Source organism: Homo sapiens, chromosome 6 (genome assembly GCF_000001405.40).
Source record: "Homo sapiens chromosome 6, GRCh38.p14 Primary Assembly".
Lineage (NCBI taxonomy): Eukaryota > Metazoa > Chordata > Mammalia > Primates > Hominidae > Homo > Homo sapiens.
Genome location: NC_000006.12, coordinates 82046361 through 82064607, shown reverse-complemented (window position 1 = coordinate 82064607; position 18247 = coordinate 82046361). Strand labels below are relative to the sequence as shown.

At 38.1% G+C, this 18247-nt stretch overlaps 2 long non-coding RNA genes across 2 annotated transcripts in view; one reads left to right on the top strand and one right to left on the bottom strand.

Annotated features, from left to right (window-relative positions):
* Positions 1–18247, top strand: part of LINC02542 (long intergenic non-protein coding RNA 2542) — a 257985-nt gene that overhangs the window by 37158 nt on the left and 202580 nt on the right. Inside the window, exon 3 of the long non-coding RNA NR_149135.1 lies at positions 6603–6669. This is a non-coding gene — a long non-coding RNA (long intergenic non-protein coding RNA 2542). The remainder of the gene's footprint in view (positions 1–6602; positions 6670–18247) is intronic.
* LOC107986617 (uncharacterized) overlaps positions 1–18247 on the bottom strand; it is a 97872-nt gene that overhangs the window by 50868 nt on the left and 28757 nt on the right. The window lies entirely within an intron of this gene.

The following is an 18247-nucleotide window of genomic DNA, read 5'->3' as shown; positions in this document are numbered from 1 at the left end:
AAAAAAAAAAGTATATTTTTTGTAAATGTTTGGTACTTGTTGCTTTTTGTGTGATAGAAGGAAGTGTTTCAATTAGCCAAGTGTGGGGGTGCACACCTCAGTCCCAGCTGCTTGGGAAGCTGAGGTAGGAGGATCACTTGAGCCTAGGAGGTGGAGGTTGCAGTGAGCCGAGATTGCACCACTGCACTCAAGCCTGGGTGACAGAGTGAGATCCCACCTGAAAAAAGAAAGAAAGAAGCGTTTGAAAGAATATATTTTCTCAATTACAAAGAGGTCTAGTAAAGAAATACAAATTTTATCTATTAAAATGTACAGTGTTCTCTGAGGACTGAAAGTGTTTTTATGAAAATGCAAGTTAGTTATGTCCAATTTGTTTATTCATTAGTAACTCTATGGAAGAATAGTATAAATATAGAAAGCACTCTAATTACAAGTGTGCTACTTGATGGTGTCACCTATAAAATGATCACCCCCGGTAAGCAACACCCACATCAAAAACCAGAATATTACCAGCACTCAGAAACCCTCTTCTTTGCCTGCCTCCTCATTCCCAAGGGTAACCACTTCTAACAGATTATACTAGTTGTGCGAATTTTATACTTTAAATTACTGGAATCATAGTATATATTTTGCATCTGGCTTGTTTCACTTGACATTGTTTGTGAGACTCATCCATATTTTTATATATAGTTATAGGGTGATTATTCTCATTGCTGTATGGTATTTTGTTGTGTGAATATATCATTTTGCTTATTCTTTCTATTGTTGTAGGCATTTGGGTAGTTTCCAACTTGCAGCTATTATCCATGTTCTATGAATATTCTAGTACTGTCTCTGGTTAGCACATGCACACGTGTTGATCATACGGTACACGTATGTTCAGCTTAGCAGATACTGCCAGTTTTCCACCCAATTAACATTTCTACCAACAGTGTATGTGAGTTCCTATGACTCTACCTTTTCACCAACACTGTTTTCCTTCTATGCTATTTTAGTCATCTTGTTTGTCTAGTCATATCTCATTGTAGTTTTATTTTGTATTTCCCTGATGATCAATGAGATTAAGCACTTTCACATTCATTAATTGCCCATTTGGATATTATGTTTTGTGCAAGATCTGTTCAGGTTTTTACCCATTCTATTGGAATGTCCTTTTCCTTAAAGATTTGTAGAAATACTTCATTGAAATTCTAGACTGGGCACGGTGGCTCATGCCTATAATCCTAGCACTCTGGGAGGCTGAGGTGAGTGGGTCATTTGAGGCCAGGAGTTTGAGACCAGCCTGGCCAACATGGTGAAATCCGACTCTACTGAAAATACAAAAATTAGCCGGGTGTGGTGGGATGCACCTGTAATCCAAGCTACTTGGGGGGCTGCAGCAGGAGAATGACTTGAACCTAGGAGGCGGAGGTTGCAGTGAGTGGAGATCAAGCCACTGCACTCCAGCCTGGGTGACAGAGCAAGACTCCGTCTCAAAAAAAATAAATTCTAATATTTTCTTCTACTTGCAGTTTTTCTGTTCCCTCTAGTATTATGCTTTTTGATGAATACAAATTCTTATTTTAATATATTAACATTTATTAATTTTTTATAGTTAGTTTTTTTCCTGATTAATAACTCTTTCCTTACTTTGTAGTCATGAAGATATTCTACCTACAGTATTGTTTAATAATTAGAAGTCAGTATCAACAATAAAGCTATATAAAGGAAAAAACATTCAATTTAGTTATTCAAATGCAATTAAGCAAGTGACTTACTAAGCAGTGAACATGAACAGACGAATCTTTAGCTCCATAATCAATCATTTCAAGCAGTCATGTCAGTTTTTTAGGGTGAAGTAACAGTCTTGTTTTTTTTGTTATTTTTTTGAGACAGGATTTCACTCTGTTGCCCGGGCTGGAATGCAGTGGTGAGATTTTGGCTCACTGCAACCTCTGCCTCCCGAGATCAAGGCATTCTCATGTCTCAGCCTCCTGAGTAGCTGGGACTATAGGTGCGTGCCACCACGCTGGGCTAATTTTTGTATTTTTTGATAGAGATGGGGTTTCACCATGCTGGCCAGGTTAGTCTTGAACTTCTGACCTCAAGTGATCTGCTCACCTTGGCCTCTCAAAGTTCTGGGATTACAGATGTGAGCCACTGCGCCCAGCCTTTTTTCCCTTTCTTATCCGTCTGATTTTAGCAGTATCAGATTACCTGTCATGACAGGCTTTACACTTTCCTACACGCCACCAAAAAAGATAGCTTCTTACCTAATTCTGGAGGACACAACTTGCATATTGGATAGTGAGGAATTTCGAGATTGGAATTAAGAGACAAATAGAAAATGTAGATTGTGGTTCGTGACCTAAACTGCAGGCATACATACATATTGAGAAAATTGAGTAAGGTTTGAAAACAAAGCCTTACTCCTTTGTTTTCATCTGTTGTCATTTTTGGTAAATATTGAAATTAGGGCAATTGCCATTTGGTGTGTAGGGTTTCCGTCTTTCTTTATGAATGTAAAATATTTTTGAACACCAGACTGAAAGATTCCCCATCAATCTCCCCTGGCCCAATAAAGCTAGTGGTTTGCTAGCTTAAAATAGCATTTAGCGTTAGATAGAATTCAGGTTTGCTAGATGTAAACCAGTCAATGCAAGCATGTGTTGAGCCACCTAAAGGTGATTCAGAATATTTTTGGCAAATAAAAAAGATACTTAATGTGTATTATCTCCCACCAAGGGTGTGGGGAGAGGTGGTGGTGGTGGTGTACAGTTTCTTTGAGAAAACATTTATTTGTGATTTACATGAGAACTCTCAGAAGCTAAAATTTGCTTTTTGAGTTCAGGGATTTTCGAGAATAGTTGGGTATAAATATCTGAGGATTCTTTACAGGAAGACCTTAAGATTTTTAAATGAAACAATTGAAACTACGCTGGTAGACCAGCACAAAAATCCTCATTTACTTAGATGGCTCCCCTGATTCCCATGAGTTTAGGCCAGGTGGAACCAAGCATCTTGAGGAATCAATTCAGCTTCTCCAGGACTTAGTACCGCCCACTTGGGATAGTCCACTGTTTCTCTGGATCACTGCTGTTGGGTTGTCCCATTTGCTGTGATAGTGGCCCAGAGATTTGGGAGGTTCAGTTTATGTTTGCCATGGAGGGGTTCATCTGAATTTGTTTTTGTAAGAGACTTCTTATTTTCGGTAATCATTTGTTTCGAGAAGGCTAACATTGTTTGGCCCCCGTACAGTTTGAGAAAGAAACAAGGAATCAGGGTGGACACTGAGGGCTCTAAGTTTTCTTCGTTTTCAGACTTGACCTTTCTGGAACAGTCCTGAATGAATTAGACCCTTGGGGGCTTCTTCACAGTGCATTTTAGAGATCCAAATCTGAGCTGCACAACTCTTATCTTACAGCCACCTTTCTAACCACTTCCTAACTTGGCATGTCTTCAAATACCTACAGAATTAAAGCAGATCATTGTTTGTTTTTCCTTATTGTGATATGCAGATAGTGATACACATTAGAATTTACATTTAAAAATTTTTGGATTGCAGAAAGACTTCAGCAGTGGATCACTGAAGGAGACCAACCATAATAGAATGTTCACTGGGGGTTTTAAGAAGTAAAATAATGAAATCAAGTGCATTGATGCTTTAATGAATATTTTTTAGAAATCAGTGTTTTATTGTTACCTGGGGGATGAATTTTAAATGAACCCCTGAAGGGCTTCAACCAGCACTTTCTTCCACCTCACAAAGACCAGTAAAGGCCCCAAAGCAGCTTGGACCAGAGTGTTTGGGGAGTGGGAGTGAGGCAAACACGTATTTGTGAGGATCCTCCTACATCCTCCCCTTACCCCTCTTTGAAGGAAGCTAGCTCTCTTGGAATGTGTACTATTCCTTGGCATCACTTGGGAGGTTGTCACATTGATCTAATTTCAAATGTGACATTGAAGACATGCCACAGAAATGTCTGTCTACTTCTGCCTCCAATTCAAAAGCCATCTCTGGAGTGGCCATTGGTGGTGGAAGATTTAGGTTCTAGCTGTCTAACATCTATTGCTATCTATAACTCCTCCTGTTCACAAGAACCCCTAGACCACTGAGCTTGGTTCTGCCCTCTCATATGTGAACTATCTTCCTCTAATTTAAGGACTCTCATGTGTGTTTTACTGATGGTAAGGAGTATGAGTCAAGAAATAGCACGGGAGTGGATGTATGGTGTCCATGTACACAAACGTGCTTTTAATGACTTTAATGTTCATCTATAAATTCATTAGCTTCTTGAAGGTTTAGTTTACTCTCTATATTTCTCATGCTACTTAGCTTGGTGCTTTGCATATTGAAGATAATGAATATTATGGAATGGACCATGCTTGTATAAATCATGTAGTAGCATTTACAAGTGGAGTTAAATGCTTTGTTTCTGGAGTCAGATAGCTTGGGTAGATTCCTGGCTATGCCACTAGATAACTGTGTGACTTTGGGCAAGTCATTGAACCTCCTGTGTCTGGACTTCCTTATTCAGAAAATGGGAAAAATAATACCACCCACCTCATAGACTGCTGTGAGCCTTAACTGAGTTAGTATACATAAAGTAGAACCGCTGTTGACATGTGGTAACAACTTGGTAAGTGTTAGCTCTTGTTGAAATTATTATAAGAGCACTTTCAAGTTTAGAGAGCTCTTCCTTACCATAGCTCATTTGATTCTCACAAGAATCCTGTAAAATGTGAAGGACATATATCTTTAGTCTTGTCATTGCCCTGTCTCTACCATCACACACCATGTATCATTCTGGAGGGAATTAAATAATATATGCACATTAAATTATATTGTTATGAGGGAGAATCACAAAGTTATGAGAGCCTTGGCTTCTGGGATCACACTGGGAGACCACATTGATGTAATCCTTCCATGGTCTTATGTTTCTGGCCAGATGGAGTGAATTGCACAGGAGGCAGCCCAAGTCCATGGGGATGGATAGACATGGCTCCCGATGGACGTGGATTGGTGGGAAGACAGGCTGTAAGGTTGCTTTCCTCCCTGAATTCAACTACTCTGAAGAATGATGAAAGCCAAGCTGGTCCTTAATAAGGACCTGGGGAATGGGGCAGAGAAAAGGCCAATATCTCTATACAGAAGTTTATGTTCCTGAGGCTTGTGTGTTACCAAGGTCTTCTCTCACTGTCTCTGCCATGTCCTCCCTTCTGTGCCTGATGCTTGACTTGGCAGTTTGCATCTAAAAGATGTTCAGTAAAGAAAAGCTGAATAAATGAACAAATACTCTTTTCTTTTGATTATTTGATTGCCAACTAGTAGGTATATGAACACCAAAATAAAAAGATTTGAAATTAGAAGTCACTTTAGTTATATTAAATATTCGACTAAAATTGGACTAATATTAGCTATCAGCATACTTAGCTTTTTAAAATACAAAATTTCACCCAATTTAATACCACAAGAAGTACCTCTTCCAGTAATCCCAGTTCCCTTTATCCTACTTTACTTTTCTTTCTGTAGCACTTACTACTTTCTATCACAAAATATAATTTACTTATTTATTATGTTCATTATTGATTGTCTGATTGTCCACCACTGGAACTCTACTCCCTCAAGGACTGAGAGCTTTGCCTGCCTTGCTCAGTAATTTATCTCAGATTCCTAGAACAGTTCCTGGCATATATTAGCTCAATAAGTATTTTTTAAAAATAAATTTAACAAACATTTAATGGCTCCCTTTTATGTGCAAGGCAATGTGAGTGGTGTTGCATATAGGGATAAACAATGAGTGAAAGACCATTTCATTGAATATGTATAAATGCATATATATTCACTGATACAAAGGGCTGGTATATTTTTATATGTAAATATATGTATATTAAATAAAGTATTAAATATGTGCTACATATAGCTTAGTATACATATGTACTACAGATAAACTTAAGTAAAGGACTGTGCCCAACATGATCAGTTTTGACCTGATTGAAGAGTGTCTTTGCTTTCCTGAGTAACCCCTATCACCCTGTAGATGACATTCTCTGGGGTGTGCAGGTCAACTCTGCAGGAACTCACCCAGCCGGCCATATGGCCCTCTCTCCTCCCTCTTCCTCATGCTCTAGAACGCAGCTCACAAACTAGATGTCTAAGGGTTGCATCTGGCACCCATATGTGTCTTGTTGGGCTTGCCGGGGGTTTGGAAATTCTTTAAGTCAATTGCCAACATTTAAAAATCTGGAGAATTATCATAAATATTCAAATTTCCTTCCACCTTCTCTTGCAAAGCCTCAGAGTGTTTGTCAACATTGGGCTGGCCTTTCTATGTGGCCTGAGCAGGCTGGGGCTGAGCAGCATCTGGCCCATCAGACCAGCAGATGAGGCATCTGCTCTCTTCCTTACAGGCATTGCCACTGGTAACCTCGCCCATTCACTTCCCTGCCCAGCACCTGAACAGGCTGAGCATGCAGCCCCTGCTCCTTACTCATCTGCATCTCTGGTAGGAATTTGATACTGCTGTAAACTGCTAGGAAGAGGCTAGTAGATAATAATGTTCAATTCACACTGATTGGTAGCTACACACGCTTTTTCTTTCTTTCCTTTTTTTTACATCTAGGATCCAGTCCAAGAATAAGTAAATGGCATCCTTCCAGTGGAGAGCTGACAGCTGGGATTGAAACAAGGTTTGTGATTCTTTCACTGCCCTTCAATACAATGTGCTCATTATGAAACAATCTCAAAAACAGTGTTCTTTTTTTTTTTTCTGAGAAAAAAGTGACATTAGAGACTAATGGCTAGGCATGTCGCAAAACACCTTTCTGAGGATTTTTCTTCTGCCACTTGAACTTGTCCAAGCTTGTCTGTTAGGCAAATGTGCCTTTTTGCTTTTCAAATAATCCCCCCCGTACATGTCACTTTGGGCAAAATATCACCATAGGCTTTCCCATTCTGTTATCACAAAGAGGGGTTATTATCTGATATTTGAAGGCAGCAAGATGTACCCCGAACACTTGTTCCGATCCAGATGAAAACATATCGAAGCCAACATCTAACCATTAGTGGATGAGAGGATACCACTTTTTTTTGCGCTTTCTTCTCTGAGAGAAGAAAACATGATATTAATAAATCTCCTTTGGTTGTTTATTCTTTTCTTTTCCTTCCTGCTGACAAGGATTAGAAGGCTATAATGTGAGGGCAAATTTGTGTCAGGTGGTACTGAGCCATTTACAGGAAAGTTTGAGTGTAATCTGAAGTTTTCATTCCTTTTAAACAACATTGCTAAGCAATTAACTAAAATGTTGTCACTGATTGCCCTACCACAGTTTAACCCAGTGCTCAGTAAAGGGTAGGAGTTTTAAGTGAAAGAGAAAAACAAATGGCTCAAAACATTAGACAGCAAATAAAGAAATTTGGGTAAGCCATCCTAGGGTTTGTTCCTGATGAAAGTGACCCAATTGGGGTCAAAGATGCCTGGTGATTTCAGCACCCAGGGGGAGTCTGACTTGGTGGGTGGGTTGTTGCAGTTGAAGTCTCCAGGAAATGCTCATGGACAGGTGCACACAGCAGCCAAGGGGTCAGGGCATAGAGTTTAGTGGCCCAGAAAGAAGGGAGCCACAGGCAAGAGCTAGGCTGTGTGTTGGGTGTCAGCCAAGGAGCTTGAGAGAAACAGGGTTCCAGGCCTTGAATGGAGAGCAAAAGTACAAATCAGGAAAGTGAGGCAGCTGCCTAGTCCCATGGGTTGCACAAACTCAAAACGGGTGGGAAGGCTGTAGCTCCAGATACTCACAGGAGCCCAAGGCTCATCCTGGCCCTCAGAGAACCACAGTAGCAAGATCAGTTCCAGACTCTACCAGCTAGTGGGAGCTCTGTCTATTGTTATATTATGGGTCTTGACCACAGAGGGGTCAGGATAAGGCTGAGGCAAGACCAAGAAGCCAGGACCTTACAGGCATCAACACTGGCAAAGACACCTGAAAACACACATACATGCACACACACACACACACCACCCTCTGGAAGTATATACTCCAAAATATTAACAGTGGTTAATGATTTGGTGGTAGAATTATGAATGGGTTCTTTGCTGCTTTTCTAAAATTTTATTTCCATGTCCGTGTCTGCTTGATTATTTTTTACCATGAAAATAAAATGACTATAAGAACTTCCATAATAAGAAAAAAGGTTATTAAATTATGCAAAATATATGATTCACTCTAATTGAATTTATACTTGGAGCAGGTTTAAAGGTTGTTAACGTGGAAAAAAAAAAGAATGGTGAAAGTTCTTTTCCCCACACATAGGTCTTATTACAATCTAATCATGATTATACAATTACCCTCCAACCCTCTTTCTGTCCTTGCAGGTGGAGTAGGAATAGTAAAGGTAAAAGAAGAGAGATCATACAAAATATTTTTTGAGGATTTCTCTGGAGTGGCCTTGTAGGGAATAAACTGAAAGCTGCCAAAATAAGAATTAGCGTTTGTATTTGAATTAGTAGCAAGATCTTATCAGTCAATGTTTTAGTCTTTGCTTCCAAGGAAATATATACTGCTATTCTCTTTATTCATATGTTCTTATTATTTAATTTATAGAATTGAATCTCTTGGTAACATCTTAGCAATATGATATCTAGCTCTCAGCAAATACCAGCCTATGCTTATTCACTGATTTTTAATCTGAAGGAAGTAGAGAGGTACAAAGCTATATTCGCTGGGGTCTCCAGCCTATCTCCTTCTATTCTTACTCTTCTTGTTTGAATTGTACTGTTCAATTATAGAAATGGCAATAACTGCTCATAATTGTGCCTTAATATGCAATTAATGTTTTTGAATGATATCAGCACAGCCCAGTACCTTGGGATAGGTTCATTTTCAAGGTTGCCTATTACAATTTATTTGTGTTATTCAGTTTATTTATCTAGGCTAGAGATTGGGTGATGGATGGATCACAGTTTTTTCAAAGGGTGAGAAATCTGTCTTGTACTCTTCACTAAGTGTAACTCTAGGTGAATTGTTCAGTCTCTTGACATTGACATTCTAATCTGTAAAATGGGGTTGGATTTAGTGATCTCTATAACCTGCCTTCTACAATAAAAAAATTGGCTTTAACTTACCAGCTTTGAAATAATCTGGGGTTGGAAATGGGATGTCTTCATGAGTGGGGTAGTTCAACTTGTACGTGGTGATGAGAGGAAATATCAGAACCAAAAAAAGGTTTGACTAGTAGAGAGACATTAGATTTCAGCTGAAGATAATTCTCTTACTGCTGTCACTACAGATGTGCTGCTGCCAGATCTCTTTCTTTGCTTTCTCCAAAAGGGAAATGCTGATAAGAAAAGCAGAAGCAGGGAGGGGTTGTCTCAGCGATGGGATTCCATCCAAAGCATGGACATCCCTTCTAACTTCAGACCTACAGTTGATTAGTTTCTAGTCCTAGTATTTGTCCTTTCTCCTCTTTTCCAGACCTTGGGGACTGGCTTATCCATATCATAGATTTGACAAAAGTATAATAACGATTCTGGCCACCTCTCAGGAAAACAGGAGGGAAACTCTTACTTTTAACTGGAAGGATACTTGTTAGAACTCAGATGTTACACCTGTTGGGTGAAGCTCATGTCTTCTGAACACCTCTTATTCTGCCACCACCACACAGTTCCTGGGGATGAGGCAGCTGACTTCAAGGGTCACCCAGAAGGGAGAGTTAGAGGCTCATGCTTGCTGTTGTGCTGGCATCCACACCCATAATCTCTGGTCAGTTTCTCTTTCTGGACCTGTTTAATTATTGTAGAACTAAAGGGCTGCCCCCAAAAAGGCAGAATCTTGAATCATCTAGTTTATTGACCATCCCTCATATGTGATAAAATTGCTCCCCCAATCATAGCTGAGTGAGAAGGAAGTGACAAAATCAGTAATTGACTGGACTTCAGGTGTCAGTAAAAGTCTGGGATTGGCTCCTGACACTGAAATTCTGATAGATAATACAGACTTAATAAATTTAGGGTGGAGTGTGACCATTTGTCTTATTAAAAAGTTAGAGAATGTCAGGAAAAAAATAAGAAAGAAGAAAAAAAATGGGAGGTGAGTTCCCATAACAGGTTATCATGACCTTATGAACTATTCTGGGCCCCAGTTTTATCCCTTGATACCCTTTGGTCAGTTGTTATCCTCTGGGGAGAGTCAAATATTTGGCTAAGGGCTGGAGGGTTTGTAATCCTCCTTAAAATTCTACCTTTGAGGTGGTTTTTTTGTTTGTTTGTTTGAAGAATGCTGTACCATAGATTTTTGGATGCTACTTTAATGATCTCCATGGAAAGAGGTCAGATGATCATGACTGCAAAGAGTAACAGAGACACAGATTAGTGGTTTGTAGATGAAGAGGAGCTCTAGATCAAACCAAGTCCTGCCTGCAGGGGACCAGGTGATTATAACATTGATGATAGTGCTGGTATGATTCTGTCAAATGAAAGCATGATTCAAAATCATTTTTAGGTAAACTTGTGGGGGAGGGGAGAATAAGAGATTCCTGGCTTACTTGCCTCAGGCCCACTGATATGGTTTGGCTGTGTCCCCACCCAAATCTCATCTTGAATTGTAGTTCCCATAATTCCCTTATGTTGTGGGAGGGACCAGATAGGAGATAATTGAATCATGGGGGCAGTTCCGCCATACTGTTCTCATGGTAGTAAATAAGTCTCACAAGACCTGATGGTTTTATAAGGTGAAACACCTTTTGCTAGGTTCTCATTCTCTTCTCTTGTCTGCTGCCACGTGAGACATGCCTTTCACCTTCCAACATGATTGTGAGGCTTCCCCAGCCATGTGGAACTGTGAGTCCATTACACTTCTTTCCTTTGTAAATTGCACAGTTTTGGGTATGTCATTATCAGCAGTGTGAAAACAGATTAATACACCCACAGACCTCATGCCCCACTCAGGCCAGTGCCCATCTATGCCAGAAAGCCTTTCCTAGATACTTGTTTCATCATCCCTGACACCATATCCTCCTATAGTTGATACAGGTCTTCTCATAACACCATGCTCTCTTGTGCCTGTACATCTTCGCCCATGTTATTCCCTCTGTCTAGATGTTCTTTCACCCCCTATTTTGTCTTTCTAGAAAGCTCTTATTTACCTTTCAAGGCTCAGCTCCAAATTTTATCTGCTTAGTCTTTCCTGACCTTCTTTTAACTTCTGTGTTCCACATCAATAGGTTAAGGTTCTAACATATTGATAATGACTGGTCTCCTCTCAGGTTAACAGATTTGCCTTTTTTTAGTCTAAACTAGAGTAAAGGTTGAAGGCAGATTCAGTAATAGTCCCTTTTCATAGGAAGCCTGCAATCTAATTGTGGAAATAAAAACTGACACACTTAAATATTACCATATTGTGCACTAATTACAATATGATACGTTGTAAATTTATAGGAGCTGCAGAAATTCTAAAAGGACTGTTATAATCTGAGAAGAAATATTATGAACAGCATTAAACCAGTAACATTTGACAACTTAGATAAAACAGAAACATTTCTTCAAAATGCAATTTATCAAACTAACATGAGAAGAAATGGAAAATATAAATAGTTCTATAAAATAAATTGAATTTGTTACCAAAAACCTCACAAAGAATCTATACATCCAGATAGTTTCACTGGCAAAATCTATTAACAACTTAAGAAATAAATATTGCCAACTTTTCACAAATTCTTTTGGAAAATAGAGCTGAAAGGAATACTTTCTATATTATTCTATGAGGCCAATATTACCCTGATAATGTAGCCAGACAAAAACATTGCACACAAAGAAAATTATAGTCAAATATCTTCCCTGCACACAGACATAGAAATCCTTCACAAAATAATAGGAAATACGATTCAGCAGTATGTTTGTTGTTGTGTGTGTGTGTGTGTGTGTGTATGTTTGTGTGTGTGTCTGTGTGTATGACTATATCATGATCAGGTGTTTGTTTTCAAGGAATAAAAGGGTTTGTTTAAAATTTTAAAGTCAGTCAACATAGTTCACCATTAAGAAAAGGAGAAAAATCATATATTCATTTCAATAGGTGCAGACAAAACACTTCACAATATTCAACATCCATTTATGATTAAAAGCTTTCAGCAAGTTAAAGATAGAAATTTTCTCAATCTCATAAAGAGGACTCACTAAAAATCAACAGCTTATATTTAGTTGTGAAATTGAATGCTTTCCTTTTAAGATTGGAAACAAGAGTGTTTGTTTTTACCATTCCATTTGTACTTGAGGCACTAGTCAGTGCAAAAAGACAAGAAAAAGTCACAAAGATCAGATAGGGAGAAGTTATTTTTCTTCTATTTATATTCACAGGAGAAATCATTGTTTACTTAGAAAATCCTAAAGAATCTACAGAAGAACCACTGGAACTGAGAAGTGAATTTAGGAAGGACTCAGTATACAAGATCAATATTAAAAGATTATTTCTATATGTTAGTCACAAACAATTAAAAAACAAAACAAGAAAACATTTTTATCCTTAAAGCACTCAAAACATAACATTCTCAAGAATAATTTAAACAAAATGTATACAAGACCTCAACATGGAAAACTACATTGTTGAAAGAAATTAAAGAAGACTTAATAAGAGATATAGAACATTTATGGATTGAAAATTCACTATTATTGAGATATTAATTCTCCACAAATTTAAATATAGATTGAATCCAATTTCAACCAAAATGTTGGTTCTACATGTTTAAAATGTAGACATTAAAAAAAACTGATTCCAAATTTATATGGGAAATAAGAGGCTCTAGAATAGCCAAAACAATCTTGTAAAAGAACAATGTTAGAGGCTTCATTGTACCTAATTTCAAAAGACAGTCAGCTCATATCTGTGGGTTTTGCATCTGTAGGTTCAACCAACACAGGAAACATTTGAAAAAAACAATAAAAATAACAATACCACAATAAAGATAATGCAAATTTAAAAACAATACAGTATATCAACTATTTACATAGCATTTACATTGTATTATTATAAGTAATCTAGAGATGATTTAAAGTATATGAGAAGTATATGAGAGGATGTGTGTAGGTTATATGCAAATACTATGTTATTTTATGTAAAAGACTTGAGCATCTGCAGATTTTGGTATCTACAGGGTGTCCTGGAATTCCTCCCCTGCAGATCAAGGAATGACTACACTATTAGGCTGTATTGCTTAAGACATCTTGAAATTGGTATCAACATAGACAGAGAGCTAGAACAGAATAGAGAGTGCAAAAGTAGACCTATATATACATGGTAAACTGATTTTTTCCAAAGGGATCAAGGCCATTTAAAGGGAAAAGAAAAGTCTTTTCAACAAATGGTACTAGACTGTTTAATTTTATGAAAAAAAGGGTATTAACACTACCTCATGCATACTCAAAAATTAATTTGAGATAAATTATAGATCTAAACAAAAAAGTTAAAATTAAAAAGTTTCTAAAACACATAAGAGAATATCTTTGCAAATTTGGAGTAAAGATTTCTTAAATAGTATAGAAAAAGCACTAATTATAAAAGAAATTAAAAAATCAACTTCATAAATATTAACTTTTTAATATCTAAAGACGCCATTAAGAAATAAAAAGGCAGGCTGCGCACAGTGGCTCACGCCTGTAATCCCAGCACTTTGGGAGGCTGAGGCTGGTGGATCACTTGAGGCCAGGAGTTTGAGACGAGCCTGGCCAACACAGTGAAACCCTGGCTCTACTAAAAATACAAAAATTAGCTGGGCATGGTGGCACATGCCTGTAATCCCAACTACTTGGGAGGCTGAGGTGGAGGGATTACCTGAGCCCAGGAGGTGGAGGTTGCAGTGAGCCGAGATTGTGCCACTGCACACCAGCCTGGGTGACAGAGACTCCATCTCAAAAAATAGAAATAAATAAAAATAAAAAGAAAATCCATAGATTTGGAAAGTATATTTTCAATACATATATTTGAAATTTGTAAATATAAAAACTCCTACAAATCAATAACAAAAAGTCAACCCATTCAAAAATGAACAAAGCTTGAACCAACATTTCAATGCAAATAACCATTATGCAGAAGGATAGGTGCTCAACATTGTCTTGGGGGAAGTGAATTTTACCCACAAAAGGATACCATAGAAAATATTCCACACCAACTAGAATAATCGAAATTGAAAAGACTGACTGCACTAAATGTTGGCCATGGTATGAAACATTATGGACTATCATACATTCCTGATAAGAGTATAAAATGGTATGACCACTTCAGAAAACTGCTATTTTTAAAATAAATTAAACATATGCCTATGCTATGACCCAGCAATACCACTCTTAGGTATTTAACCAGGAGAAATGAAAACATATGTTCACAAAATATTGGAAACAAATGCCCAAAAATAGGTAGGTAGTTAAATAAATATGGTACTGATGAGCTACCCCAAAACATTGGGCATTTGAGAAAGAGCAGAAGTAGGAAGGTCATTTTTCCTTTTTCCCCCTTCTCCCTGAAGCAGGGTATAAATCCTAAGATGGTTACTTTCTGACTTCCCACCCTTCTCTTCTGAAGCTGGTCATAAGACTCTCACTTGAGAGGTGCCCTTCTTATACCTGGAGAAAAGGGACACAGAGAGGAATCTTAACAAACAGGCCTTTCTAAGTTCCCCCCAGTTTATTATCATTAGATCATACCCCCTTGGCCCAGACATACTTCTCCATGGCTATCTACTTTTCCATCAAACCTAAGTGTAAAAATATGAAAGTTCACCTATTTCTTTGAGTCTTTATTTCCTTATGAAGTTTCCTGTATTATCTAAAATATATTAAATACATGGGCATGCTTTTCTCTTGTTAATCTGCCTTTTGTTATGGGGCCTCAACCATGAACCTATTAATGGATGAGGAAAGAATCTTTCCTTCCCTGCAGTACACATACATAATTGAATACTATGCAGCTTTAAAAACAAAAAGCAAAGTTCTCTATCAAATGGCATAGCGTGATCCTTCCAAAATGTTCCATTTTTTAAAAAGTGCAAAATATATATAGTATGCTACTTGTGATTAAAAAAAAGAATTGAAACACGTATTTACTTTTCCAAAAAGGGGCCCAGGAAATATAAACCAGAAACTAATGAAATTGCTGAACAGCAAGAGGTTCGGTATAAGGGAATGGAGCAGAAGGGTTACTGGAGGGAGAGAAACTTCTGAGTGCTCTACTTGCTTAGAAACAGTAACGCTTCTGCTTTGCAGATGAACTAACCTAGAGCCCAGGTATTGGTTTCTAAATACCATTCCTTACTAAAAGGAACTTAGGCTATTTGGAGAAATGACTGAGTCCATGGCTGGTGCAGGGAGTATACAAGCTGAATCCAGAACATCTTGTGGTACTTGAAAGTAAGAAAGTGCTCAGAATAAAAGGATGGGGTCATGTCCAAAGGACAGAGGAGCTAGCTTGAGCAAAATCTGGGACAATGTGAGCATCAGAAAATTGTAACTCATTAAATAAAGTAAGAATCCATGAGTCTACACTGCTAACAAATAGATAAGGAAAATAGGGAAGAAGATAAAACTCTGTGAAAGTAGAATGCCATCTAGTAAAGTAAAAGAATAGTCGTACATTCATCCCCAAATTGCACTGGTGTTCAAGGATTATAATTGGGTTGATATGAGTCTGCACTTTCTCCTGGGGACCAGGCACACCCTCAGGCCCCCTCTCAGCACGTCTTCTGCGCCAAGCACCAAACATGGACAGGGATTTTACACTCTCCAGCCCAGCCCAGGTGGTTCTTATTTAGGCCAAATGAGCACCTTGGACTACTTTGGTAGTCAAAGTTGATTACACCTTGGAATCATCTGGAGAGTTGCGGGCCTAACAGTGCCTGGGCTTCACCCTCAGAGATCCTGATTTAATTGGTTGGGAGTGGGTGCAGGTGCCAGCATTTTAAAAAACCTTTCCAGATGATTCTCTTGTACAGCCAGGTAGAAAACTACAGACATAAAAAAGAGTAGAGATTCTGAATTTAAAGAAAAGCTGAAGGATTTATTAATATTCTAGATCTTGCCTTGCTACATAAAATTATCAAAATCCTTATCCTATTTGGGTGCTTAGTCCCAACCAGCTTCCTATTTGACCACACCTGCTTCAGAAAGGAAGATGGAGGTTGAACTTCACACTGGTGAGTCACACATGATTTTGTTTTAGGGCGAACTTAATCCTTTTAGGATGAGTGCTCCTTTAAGATGATATTCCCTCCCAGTCCTTTCAGTGAGGTCAGTAACTGGGATTTCCACAAAGCAACCCCCTAGGTCATTGGTCATCCTTGCTTTTGTTGGCAATGGCAGGACCACTTTGAAATAACAGGTGTGTGAGTGAGGGTTAGAAGGGGGAAGGAGCACAAGAGACAGAAGTGATTAGGTGACATTGTCACCCTGCCATTTGTCTGCATGTCAGCTTGGCTTTTATATTCTTATTTCCAGGTCAAAATGTTCTCTTTACTTTTTTACCTGGAGCACTGAAGGCAAAAAACATCAGAGGGTTTTTTAATGGAACAACTTTGATGATGTAATTTTTAAAATTCATTGGTCAATGAGAACTCACTTCAGCTATTAGGGAATGATATTTGGCTGGGACAAACACAGACAAGCACTAAATTATGTTGTAAGTAATGAAAAAACAATTTTATGGATTTTGAAACCTAGTGTCTCTTCAACCCACTCACAATCAAATAAAGCTCTAATGTTAATCTTTGTGAACTGTCACCACGACACTTGCTACAAACTGCCATCAAGGTTGATTAGGTTGCTAGTGGAAAAAAGGGAGATAATGTGATTGGCAAAAAGTGAGGCTGTTTTATCATCTGTCTGGTCAATAGCTGAAGTCTTGTTTACTACCAATAGCTATCAGTTAACTTCTTTCTAAATTCTGATCTTCATTATATATCTTCAGTCTTCACAACTGTTGGAGAAAGGTCTGTGTGAGTGAGCAGAGGTGGAAGGGATTGCCATCTCAAATTGCTTAGGTCTATTTAGAATCTAAAATATGGCCCATTATTTAAAAAGAGCCACAGTGTGGAGGATCTTCCTTGTATTTTGGAAGTGACTTTTTCAGTGTGCAGACTATCTTGTTAGCTTCTATACCTATTTCCAATTTGCATACATTCAATTTCTTTTCTCCCTCTGGGGAAATAGTCTGGTTCTGTTTCTTCATTTTCTATTTTTCCTAGTTTTTCTGTTTTTCAGGTTTCCCCATACCGATTTGGGCTTCATGGCTTCTGTAGTCTCCTGAAGCTCTTGAAGAATGTACTCTAACATTTAGAACAAATTCTGGTTTTAGTGCTTCTTGCAACTTTATATGCATGTCTCATCTTTCTAACACAACTTTAAGCTTTTTTGAACTTTAACCCACTTTAGGATAGAAATATATACTTCTGAATGTTTCTCAGCATCTAGCACAGCATTGAGCATATTCTAGGTAAAGACTTTAGTTAACGGCCAATTAATGTTGGGCTACAGAGATTTTTGCATAATAAATTTAGCATGGTGCTTCCTGTTGGGATCCTGGTTAGTACAAAATGATATATCATAATATAGGTAGGTGTATAAAGGGATGTAGTCATTTTTAAAGTGCTACGACCTTTTCTTTTGTGGAGCTAAATATCTTTTTGTTAAAGTGGAGAATCACTTCCTAATTTATCATTTATGGAGCATCTATAATTTTTGAGGTTTTTTATTTAATATGAAATTTCTCCATAGAACTAAGGAAACAAAAAATAGCAAAACCATGGAGAAGGATAACATTTTACAGATGGTGTTATTTTTTCTGAACACAGGTCTAGATGTGTCTGGGTTTGGCGGTACAGTTTATGTGTTGTTCAGTTCTCAGTTTCGTTCCCACACTTCAACCCCAACTCAGGACTCATCTCTCTGCCCTCCTCGGCTTCCTCCTTCTCCACCCCAGGATAAGTTGTGATTTACACTCTGAGTGAATTGTGTGGATATTAGGCACTATGGCCTCCTTTGGTCTGAATGAGTCATTACGGTTTCCATTCTCAGAGAATTAAAGTCCTATGTGGTCTAGTGACTCTCTGTTCCATGACCTTATATGACATTGTTCTGCATGACTCTTTAAAAGATTCAAGTCTTTCTCTGGAATTTCTTTCCTGAGTCTTTCCCAATTCATTTGAAGTAATTCTGGTCTGTAATGCTGAGTAACCATGTCTAAGTATAACCTTTGAAATAGGAGATAAAGAAGAATGGGTACTGCATATAATTCAGCA